Source organism: Homo sapiens, chromosome 7 (genome assembly GCF_000001405.40).
Source record: "Homo sapiens chromosome 7, GRCh38.p14 Primary Assembly".
NCBI classification, from domain to species: domain Eukaryota; kingdom Metazoa; phylum Chordata; class Mammalia; order Primates; family Hominidae; genus Homo; species Homo sapiens.
Window position 1 is genome coordinate 111,352,903 of NC_000007.14, and position 12,308 is coordinate 111,365,210.

At 34.6% G+C, this 12,308-nt stretch overlaps 1 protein-coding gene and 1 long non-coding RNA gene across 27 annotated transcripts in view; both read right to left on the bottom strand.

The window, feature by feature from the left end:
- IMMP2L (inner mitochondrial membrane peptidase subunit 2) overlaps nucleotides 1-12,308 on the bottom strand; it is an 899,849-nt gene that overhangs the window by 690,259 nt on the left and 197,282 nt on the right. The window lies entirely within an intron of this gene.
- Nucleotides 1-12,308, bottom strand: part of LOC124900232 (uncharacterized) — a 58,562-nt gene that overhangs the window by 18,567 nt on the left and 27,687 nt on the right. Inside the window, exon 2 of the long non-coding RNA XR_007060475.1 lies at nucleotides 1-12,308. This exon is cut by the window's left edge and continues 18,567 nt beyond it; it is cut by the window's right edge and continues 21,853 nt beyond it. This is a non-coding gene — a long non-coding RNA (uncharacterized LOC124900232).

A 12,308-nucleotide genomic window follows, 5' to 3' on the forward strand; every position in this document is an offset into this window, starting at 1 on the left:
AAAGCACTGGTCTTGCATCCAGCTCCCTTGTTCTGCCCAAAAGTGCATGAAGTCTCAACTGCCTTCCTGGGCCCATAGGAGCCTGCTAACTATCTTCTACCTGCTTTATCTACAGACTTCTCTCATATAGTTAACCATCTCCATCTAAGTGATACCATGTCATTCAATATGGGACACACCCATGACATTGTTGCTTCACAAAATTCCAGAAGAAGCAGGCTGTGCAGCCATTCCAACTCTGCCACCAGCACACTATCATCAGACAGGGGCCTTAGATAACGCTTGCCATCCCCTGGCTTTCACCTGGAGAGTGAAGCACAAATCTCCAATGCTCAAATCTTCAACTAAAGGGAGCTTCTATCATTATCCCTGGTCTCAGGCTGTAGAGGAAAGAAAGGCAGAACACAGGGCTGCCATGTCTCCTGAACCTTGTTTCAACTCCCCTTCTAACCAAGGCAACACTTATTTAATAATGTGATGAGATCATCTCACTCTTTGGCTAATTTCTTTCCAATCTGTTGTTAAAAGTTAAAATAAAAATAAATTTATGCACTGATATCTTCAGAGCTTTATTTTAAAAACTCAAAACCCTTTTCTATTTCATATAGCTCAGCTGCTTGAAATACACTATCTTGTGTGTCAAGATTATTAAGCCAACTAGAAGTTTCAGGAGCCTACTTAGAACTCAGAAAAAAGAAACTTAACTTTTCTTTATTGCATTAACACTCTTCTCTGAAAAAACATTGTAATGGCAATAAGGTTCCGTCCAGTTCAGTGGGAAAAGGGCTATGGGTATTGAAAACATATACAGACTACATATATACATAAATATACACATACACAAAAAAGGACTTTCTCAGAATATACAACTTAATATATCAAAAGACTATCTTTATACATTTTTATGATAGACACCATAAACATAGTCAGCTATATATGTTACATAAGTTATGAATAGAAAACACTGGTTTTATCCACATATTTCTTCTTTCTCCTTCTTCTGTGTCTTCTGAAAACATTTGAAATATCAACCATAGCTGCCTACATAGGGTCCTCTGACAGAATATTAGGTGATAAAATGGTATAAGGAGACATATAATTGAAGTGGTAAGACCAGATATTACTCAGAGAGAATGTAAAATCAATAAAGAGTAGAACATCAAGCTTTATATTTAGGAAAAATGGGGACAGAATAACTCTGATACCAAAAAATGAAAAAAGACATCAGGAAAAAACTACAGAACCTTATTTATAAATATAGGTACAAATTTTCCAAATAAAATCTTGATAAATCCAGCTGAATAGTTAAAAATATGACCAAATAAGATTTAATCCAGGAATGTAAGACAGGTAAATTTAAAGATACCTATTAAGGTAACATATTTACCACATTAACAGATAAATAGAGAACATATATATTACCATCTTTATTGATACCTAGTATCAAAGGCCAAAGTACTTGAAAATCTAATTTCCACCTAAGGTAAACAAACAGCAACCGACAACGAAAATAAAGCTCTTGACCAACTGGAAATAGACAGGAAAAATCTTATTTGATAACATATGAGGAGCCTAAGGGAAATATTACATTAAATGATAAATATCAGAAGGATGCCCATGAAAGTCAAGAGGGACGAGAGGTTCTAGTCAACAAAGAAAAAAAATTGAGATGTATAAGGCTTTAAAAAAAAAAGAAAGAAAATGTGTTATTTTGAATAATATGACTACCTAGAAACACACAGACAATAAACTTAAAAATATAAATAAGAATATTTTGAAATATGGTTGGAATCAAGATCAACATTAATGGCCTTCTTATACACAGAAATAAGCAACTGGAAGACTTATTGGAAAGAATATTTTTTAACAATAACAAAAAAATATGGAAAACCTAGAAATAAACCTAAGAAGGAATGTGCAAAGTTTATATGAAGACAACTATAAAATTTAACCAAAGGAAATACAAGAAGTTCTGAAAAATGAAGATACGCCATTCATTCGACAAAAAGTTAAATCCCTACCCTATCCTGGACCCTAATCTCAATAGAATAAACACAGCTATATAGGTACTAGAATAAAATATTAGAGAATAAAGAGAAAGTGAAGGATCTGAAAAGGATACTACTGGGGAAACGTACTAATGAATTTAGTTTTTCCCAAGGTAATCTTTAGCAGCAGCATCCATGAATAACTTTTATGAATGTCCAATTTATAATACAGTACTCTAAAACTGACAGTTTTTATTGAATATAAAGAACAATGGTTGCCTGTGAAAAGTGAAATTAAATTTTCTTCTTAAAAGTTCCTTTATTTTTTACAATGTACATCGAATTTTTTAAAAATCAAAATGAATAAATTTTTAAAAGTTAAAAATATAATGTACATAATAATACTAATGCATGACATCAGTTTGGTGAAATATTTTTCTTATATAAATTAATTATGAAAATTAGCAATTTATACACTATAAATCTTTAACCAGATACTGTATAAATAAAAAGTGTTATTACTCTTCAAAACTTCTTCAATGTAAATTGTAATATTGGGCTTTATTACTTAATGTATAGAATCTGTGTATATCCTCTTAATTAGTAATTTCAGATATTTTTTCAAAATTTCTCTTCTTCAGTTATTCTCATAAATACCCACCAGTTTTAAGAGCAATTTTGAAAACTTCTACTCAAAACAGAAAAACAATAAAAAAACAGGGAAAAAATAGAATAGAAAAACCTTCTGGTCACTCATAAGATGTACAGAAATGTTGTTCATGAGTAATCTTTTAAATGTTCACCTCTATATCAAATGTAATTTATTTTCTACTCTCTGAGCAATGATCCAAACATATTTGAAGCTATTTTTTTAACTAAGGAGAACATACAATTAGTCTATTTTGATTTTGCTTCATATTTCAAAGGTTTGTGTTTAAGCTTTATTAATAGTGCTCTTTAAGTTATTTTCCTCCCAATAGGTCTTTAATTACATGTATCTGAAAATACAAAGTCTAATTCTGTTAGAAAACTTAATGATTCTTAAAATATTTGCTTTCATGAGTATATGATTATCTGAAAAACAAACTCCAAAGGGCAATAATTAAGCGACATGGGGTTCCACATAGGCAGAATTTAGAAAATTAAACTAATTTTCTATTTTATTTAATTTAAACATTAAATTTAAATTTAGAAAATTAAACATACACCATATATATATACACAGAAAACTTCATATTGAATAAAATACAATCAGCTATAAAGTAGATTAACAGACTCAGATTCCTTTTAGGCTAGTAAATTTGACTCATTCAACATGTTCAGATGCAGTTGGCCCACTGTATCCATGGGTTCCTCATCTGTGGATTCAAGCAACCAAGGATTGAAAATATTCAAAAAAAAATTTGCATCTCTTAACATGTATAGACTTTTTGTTCTTGTCATTATCCCCCAAACAATATAGTATAATAACTATTTATATAGTATTTACATTCTATTAGGAAATATATGTAATCTAGAGGTGACTTTAAGTATAAGAAAGGATCTACATAGGTTATAAGCAAATACTACACTATGTTATATCAGGGATTTGAGCATCCTCGGATTCTGGTATCAAGGGAGGTCCTAGACCAGTCCCTCACAGATACAGAGGAATGACTGCAACCCCTTATTCAACGTTAAATCCCAATTGTACGCTTTTTAGTGTAGCACTGAAAAGTTTTAGAAGAATTCTCATATAAACAATGCTATAAAGTTAACTTTCCAGATAAACTGAAATAAAACTGGTTTTTAAAAAAAGAAAGAATTGACAATTTTATAGTTATTTTTATTCATAAGATTTTAAAAGCATATATAGGCTGGGCTCAGTGGCTCATGCCTGTAATCCCTGCACTTTGGGAGGCTGAGGTAGGCGGATCACCTAAGGTCAAGAGTTCAAGACTAGCCTGGCCAACACGGTGAAACCCTATCTCCACTAAAAATACAAAAATTAGCCAGGCGTTGTGGTGGGTGCCTGTAATTCCAACTACTCAGGAGGCTGAGGCAGGAGAAGCGCTTGAACCAGGAGGTTGCAGTGAGCCCGAGATGGTGCCATTGCACTCCAGCCTGGGCAACAAGAGTGAAACTCTGTCTCAAAAAAAAAGCACATATATGCAAGCTACAAGATTACTATCAACTGGTACAGTACTTTATAAACTACAAACTCATCTTTGCCCTAGGATTAATCACTAACCACTTCAAGAAGGAATGTGGACACAGACTGGCCCACTGTAGCATTTAAAGTTTTTTGGCTAAATACACACATCTGTGTTGTTCTTTTCAAACCGTCAAGATATAAAACTCATTTAAAACCTATTTTTAAATACCATGCAGCAATGATCCCTTAGAGGCAGCAACTTTAGATGATGCTTAAACAATGAATTTTTTTTCCAACAATAACAATTTTCTTTAAATTCATTTACAAAACCTCACCACACAGCATGAGGTATACTTTCCTGGTAAGCAACTATAAAGTAGAATTAACTATCCTCAAATGACCATGAAATTAAGTCAGCCATATCAGATTAAGATGACCATAAATGCAGTTAAAACCATGCTAATTTACATAGCCCCCTAACCATGTTTAATTGCCACATTAAAAACCCTTCAGATGCTGGTCTGTCCTTTTACAACTTAGAACAGTGTCACCTGAATTAACTTGTTTTGTCTGAATGTTGCACTTTGTTTTTTCATTTATATAGCTGGGAACATTCATGAGCTCTAGTTATTATGTCTAAATATTTTTATTAAACAGAATAAAATAATCAAATCTATCAAACTGGTTTTAATGAAGTAAGCAATGCATTTTTAAAAGGAAGTACTCTCTTAGCCCTAAGCAACATGAGTCATCATGAAGAAATTATATATATATATACTTATCCATTTCTATCTGGTACTTTTAACCATGTGGGGCATGCCAATCTTCCCATGAGCATGGAAACTGAAAGTAACCCAAGGGCACTAGCCAGCTTTGGAATTACTGCTATAATGCCTCCTACACCACACCCATCACACTCCCATACTCTGATTTCTGCAAGCCACAGCAAGCCAAGGTTTTCACCCTAGGGCATTCTGGACTCTTTTGATACCCTATCTCAGAGTAGAAACCCAATCTTTGTACTGGGCTGTCAACCATTCACTTTTTAGATTCAGAGTACATAATCATTTGGCTTGTTTTTGCTATACCCTCTGGGTGCCTCACACTCTAGAATGAACTATTTGATTTGCTGACATCTAGTATGTTTAGATTTCCCTTCCTTTCTGGACTACTCTTTCACGTTTCCTCACCTACCCCACAGCCTCAGATGCATTATCTTACTACCCTCTATTCTCAGCTCCTCAATGACCAGGATATAACCAGGAACTGAGGATAAATCATTTATTCCACTTGTTACTTAGGCAACCCCGAAACGTTAATGAAAGCATCTTTTGCCATCATGTATTATATAGAATCTTCAGTAAGCAGCAATGCATAACAAGACAAAAGTGACTGATTCTGACCTACCTAAGGAAAAAAAATCACATTATCTTGTGATTATCTTGGCTTCTTCCCTAACACAATAATCTTTGGTTACCATAATGCCTAAGCTCAATTAGAAGTCAGAAACCCCAAAGTATCCACACCAGGCAGCAAAGCAAGAATAATCAAGATTGACATATTTCAACACACATATAGTTGCACTGAAAGGCTCCCTTAACCAATTCACCAGACAACCCCACCCCCAAAAGAATTATGCATGGGTGAAATTTCTATAGTTTTTGCACTAAAAGTAAAGTCTTCCCATGGCTGCCAGAAATCACCAATATGACCGTTCTCATTGTTGATCTTATGCTGTTATAGCAACCAAGGGAGACAACTGGAAATGGGAGAAAGTCTCTTTTAGACTGATGAAAATTAACAAGGGACAGAAATCAAGATAGTAAAGGAAGGAGAAGGTGCTGTGATTTAGCCAGAGATAATCATTGTCGACATACTATTATATTTCATTTTAGATCTTTTTCCTAGGTGTGCAGATTAGTGTACTCAACTCCATTTCAGTTGTGTTCTTTCATGCACGCTAAGTTAGATAGCTAGAACAAAAGCTAAGCTAGAAAGCTAAAGTTTATTTCCTAGACTTCCTGACAGTTAGATGTTGGCACATCACCTAGCTCTTGCCAAGCCGATACACTGGCATTACTTTGGAAGGCAAGGTTAACACGGTGAGACAGAGGCTGGCTGCTGTTGCCTCTGCTGTTTTTACTGGCAAGGTCAGTGATACAAAAATTTGATTTTTCTGCAACGTAGATCTGAATGTCCAAACTCTACTTTCATGAAAACAAAAGCTAGGGCCAGGGCATCCATGTGAGGTGGCCTCCTAATTCTCCAGGTTTTTGTTTGTTTGTTTGTTTTAATGAGACAGAGTCTCTCTCTGTCACCCAGGCTGGAGTGCAGTGGCATAATCTCAGCTCACTGCAACTTCCACCTCCCAGGTTCAACAGATTCTCCTGCCTCAGCCTCCTGAGTAGCTGGGATTATAGGCACCCGCCACCACTCCTGGCTAATTTTTGTATTTTTAGTAGAGACGGGGTTTCACCATATTGGCCCATCTGGTCTGGAACTCCTGACCCCAAGTAACCCACCTGCCTCAGCCTCCCAAAGTGCTGGAATTACAGACGTAAGTCACCGTGCCCGGCCTCTCCAGGTTCATAAACACCACAGAAATTGCAGCTTCCTTAGCCACCTATAAAATGAGCAGCCACTACTCCAAGCAGAAACATGCTCATTGGTTGTTAAGCAAGAAATAAACTTTCATTGTGTTTGAACCATTATGCATTTTTTAATCTCTTTGTTACATAAGCTAGTGGTTACCCTAACTGATAAAGAGTCCAATAAATATTTATTGAATGAATGTTAAAGAAGAGGAAATAAATGCAAGAAGTAGGTGGAGGGAGGGTGGGAAAGATGGTGAAAGATAAATAGATGGTTAAGGATCTTGATTTTTTAAAGAATTAATGGGATAAATGTTCTCTTGGAGTACAGAATTATTTCATACTATTATAATTACTAAATTAATAATAACCTATTTGAATTTCTTTTCTATTGGTTTTTCAGTATAACATCTGTTCACAATTCCTATCCTGTTGAAATTTATACTCTAATCCACTCCATAAATTTTAAAAAATGGTTTTGGTTTCTGATTACAATTTCGCCATAATGTGATTACAATTTCGCCATAATGTCATTACAAATCCAAAAGTAAGGGAAAGTCCTCCATAATACATGGAGCTAAAATCAAATACAGACATCAACATAATACATATGCAAAAACTAGATTTCCATTTTATTACATGCATACTAATTATTAAAATGTAACACTTTTGATAATATTTTAAAGCAGTGTCCCCATAGTGTGCTCTGAAGACGCCACTCTGATGGTCCCCATGAACCTTGCAGGGGGTCCATAAGGCCTCCCTTTCCCAAGTACATACCTGTGTGAGGGAAGATTGTTTTCATACATACTCCAAATCAAATAACATTACACAACATATTGAATGCAAAAGCAGATATGAGAATCCACCTGTTTGTATTCGGCCAGATATTGAAGAGATTTATGAAAATCTAAAACAGGCCTGGGGCACAGTGGCTCTTGCCTGTAATCCCAGCACTTTTGGAAGCTGAGGTAGAAGGATTGCTTGAACCCAGGAGTTTGAGACCAGCCTGGGCAACATAGCAAGACCTCATCTCTACAAAAAATAAAAAAATTAGTCAAGCATGGTGGCACATATCTATAGTCCCAGATACTTGGGATGCTGAGGCAGGAGAATCACTTGAGCCCAGGAAGTCAAGGCTGCAGTGAGCTATGATTATGCTGCTGCACTATAGCCTGGGCGACAGAGCGATACCTTGTTTCAAAAAAACAAAGAACAAAGCAAAAGTAAAATAGTGCCCTCTTCTCACTAAATATTTTTGTTTTGAAATATATAGTTATTTTTCATAAAACTGTCGTATTTATGTTGATACATAATAAATATTTTTATTTTTAAATGATGAATATATATTTTAAATTTTCTCAATCTTAATTTCCAATATGCTAAATATTGATGAAACTAACCCACAGAACAGAAGCTCTTTAGGGTCCTAAATTTTTAAGAGTTTAATGAACCATAAATAAACTAGTGAAATCCTGTAACAATGCCAGGATTCCTTTTATTAATAGTAAACAATAAACTATATTTAAATATAGCCAATTTTCTATATGTACAAAATGCTAGGCAGCCTTCCTATTGCTGTAGTAGAAATAACATGGCATTGAACACATGGGTTTAAATACCAGTTTCATAACTTATTAACTGTGTGGGCATCTGTTCCCTATTATTCTCACTGCTACCATTACAACAAACTCAACGTTATGCATATCAAAACTAAAATTGTTGCATTTTGCAAGCATTCTTGAAGATTTAATTGTGCAGGATTATAGAGAGTAATTTATATATAATTATATACACTTACTAATTCAATTATCTGGGAGTATATTTTAGCTAACTCACTATTCAGAGTTATACTTTCTATAGTAGCAGTTGCAGCATAACTGAGTATTCTTAAAGCAAGCAATTAATAAACTCCAACATAAAATTTTTCCTTGCCAAATTATATCTGTCTTGTTCTATCGAAACTCAACAAAACATTTACTTGTTCAAGGGACTATGTTGATCCAAAGATTTCCCTTCAGGAAAATGCTGGTGCTGCCTAGGGATACTAGTAGCTTTCCATAAAAAAAGTGTTCAACTAAGAGAGCTGTCCAGGCCACTCATCTTTGATAACAGAAGTTCAGCTTTATCATAACCTGTATGTCAGGCATCCAAAACCTAGGAAACTACTCTTCATTACTAACAAGATAATAACCTTTCAGTAGGTATTATCTCAATTCTTTTTCTCATCTACATTTTACAAAATGGTTTGTTGAAGAAAGTTAGGTTCTAAAAAGGAAGCTCTAAAACAATAGTCTTCATTTTTTTTCTCTCATATTCCTAAAAGAATTTTCTAAAAATACACAACATACATTTTCAGTTGACATGTAAAAATTTTCATCATGAATTTAAATGATTGCAAAGGCTATAATTTCTAGCATGTTACAAATACTGCCATTTTTATATAAAACTGTTATACCAGTCTTTTAAGAGTACCAAAGAAATCTAACTTCCACAGTAATCTGATATACACCAGCAACCATTTTATCAAAAAAAAATTCAAGAGTTAGAAAATTTATACACACTTTTTTGCTTAAACTCATTTCCAGTTATCTCCCCATAGGATTTTACCCTAATGTAATCGTTTTTATTTCTAAAAGTTTTTAACTGATCCTCTATCATACTTCTCTTCAATAAAAATGTACCTTAAAATTGAACTTTTAAATTGTGTTTAATTTTCTAAAACTGTAATGTTCAAACTAAGAAATATATGGAAATGTATTTCTTAATGAGAAGGGCTAGATTTTTTTCTTTTTTAAAATAGTTTATAGGCCTCTGAATGAATGTTACTCATTGCTAGTATAAGGTTTCACATACATTTTTTTTCTATTTTTTATTTTCTCTGTTTATGAAAGAACTGAAACTGTTCACTAAGTAGATGAGAAGGATGTTTTGTTATGGCAATGTTACTAAATCCTTCAAAATCACATAGCTTATTAAAAATATTTGATGTGTGAAAACTATCAGCTGTTAACTCAATTACATCTCCCTTAAGTCTGTTGAAACCGAAGAATTAGAAACCATATGAGTTGCAAAAGGATTTTTTACCTTGAGTTTAGGTCATTCACTTTTTCAATACCAATACCAATACCAATACTTCTAGCTAATCCTCTGCTATCATGATGCAAGGGAATTTTCCATCCTGGAGAAGTGTACAATGAGAAGATCTGGGAGGGGCGAGAAGTCTGCCTTGCTTGTTGTAACATGAGTCAAGAGCAATTCTGAAAGGGGAGTTAGGAAAGGAAAAGCTGCTTTCACTGTCTTTCACAGGAGGACCAATTTTAGGACAGACTATGGAAACTGAGGACTTAGATTCCTTCAAAATCAACTATGTGCAACCTTGGCAAACAATCATATACAAATTTGAAGACCTCAAATCTAAGGGACACTATTCCTTCACTACTCCAAGTGTTTTAAATCCCTTCTCTCTGTCTCTTTTTTTCATACACACATGAATGCAAGCCAAAGCCCATTCACAGAAAACAATCATATAAGGCACATCTTTGCATTTATTATAAAATTATTGTTGGTGCCACAATAATCACAATACTGAATAAGCTCTAAATCCTTGCTACTCAAAGTATGGACTTCAGGACAAGAGCATAAAGCATCATAACCCTGTTAGAAATGTGGAATTTGGGGCCCCATTCCAAACATACTGAATCAGAATCTAATTTTAACAAAATCTCCAAGTGATCCCTATGCAGACAAAAGTTTGAGAAGCACGGACCTAAGAAGCAGAGAAATAATTTTTAAAAATGTAGTTTGTAAAAAACATACCTCTTGTAGAAATAATATTTCCTCCTTTTTGATCATAATAAAGTAACCCTCATGTTTCCATTTTTGTCAATCTTACTAGCACCAGCCAGTGTATTTCCTAAGACCGTTAAGGCTTGAAGTAAAAAATATATTGGAAATGTATCTCTTCCTCATTATCCTGGATTTCTGGAGTGTTAGTCTAGCTGATTTGTCTGCCTACGGTCTTTCCCCCCTTCAATCCATCCTCTGCACAGCTGCAAGAGTAGAATTTATATAACAAATCTAATCATAGGACTCTCCTGTTTTAAAACCTTCAAGGTATCTCCAAATTAAAATACAAGCATATAAGGACAAGATTACCTGATCCCTATTGACCTCTCTAGCCTCATCTCCCAACCACCTCCCATTTTCTCCTGTACTTACTCTTTTAGCTCCCTGTACACACCACGTGGTTTTATGCATTACCTTTCCATCATGTTGTCCCTTACCAGAATATCCATTCCCTATTTATTGCCTAGCTGATTATCACCTGTGCCTAAAGGTTCGATTCAGTAATCTTCTTTTCCAGAAAACTTTCATGTAAGATCCCCCCCCACACACACACATCTACCCCTTTATACACATACAATGGGCAAAGGTTATTTTCTTTGTACTGTCACAGCACTTACCATTTTGTATTTAAATAATATATTTATATCTCTGTTTCTCTATATAGACAGTAACCTCTTCTAAGGACTAACAAAATTAACAGCACAAAGCAGGTGCTAAACATTAAAAGTCAAATTGAATAAAACAAAACGTGATTGTTAATCATAAGAATTGTAATAGCCAGCTCTTATAATTAGCATATTCACTTCTCTATTCATATGCTTTTAGTGTTCTTATGTCATCTGCTAGTTATCATTTTACTTTTATTTTGGTTTAAAAAAAATCTACCTCAATTCTTTTTTTTGCAACTAGGCAGAGTATACATACGTATATAGAGCACAGCTCTGTGACTTTGGTGAAATTACATAATGTGTCTTAGTCACAGTTCCTTTATTAATAAAATGGTAATTACAGGATCATATTCAGTAGGTAGGATTAAATGAGGATGCTATAGTCCCAGCTACTCGGCAGGCTGAGACACAAGAATCACCTGAGCCCTGGAGGCAGAGGTTGCAGTGAGTCAAGATTGCGCCACTGCACTCCAGCTTGGGCTACAGAGTGAGACTCGGTCTCAAAAAAAAAAAAAAAAGGATTCATGTGAAATATTTTATATAAACTATAAACATTGGCCAGGCACGGTGACTCACTCCTGTAATCCCAGCACTTTGGGACGCCAAGGCAGGCGAATCACTTGAGGTCAGGAGATCAAGAACAGCCTGGGCAACATGGTGAAACCCCACCTCTATTAAAAATACAAAAATCAGCCAGGTGTGGTGGCAGGCGCTGTAATCCCAGCTACCAGGGAGGCTGAGGCAGGAGAATCGCTTGAACCCAGGAGGTGGAGGTTGCAGTGAGCCAAGATCATACCACTTCACTCCAACCTGGGCGACAGAGTGAGACTCTGTCAAAAAAAAAAAAAATCTATAAACATTATATACATAAGTAATAAAAATTGCTTATTTTATTAAAATCATCCATTATAACAAAAAGTACAGTGGTTAGAACTCTAAACAACAGGAAATACCTTAAGAAATAAGATAAACTTTAAATAAGAAGGTCTTAACCTTTCTGCTGCTGAACTTTTAAAATTGAATTCAGTATAAAATTAATACCCCGCAGTGGCCTTTGCACAATCCTATATCTCCTTAG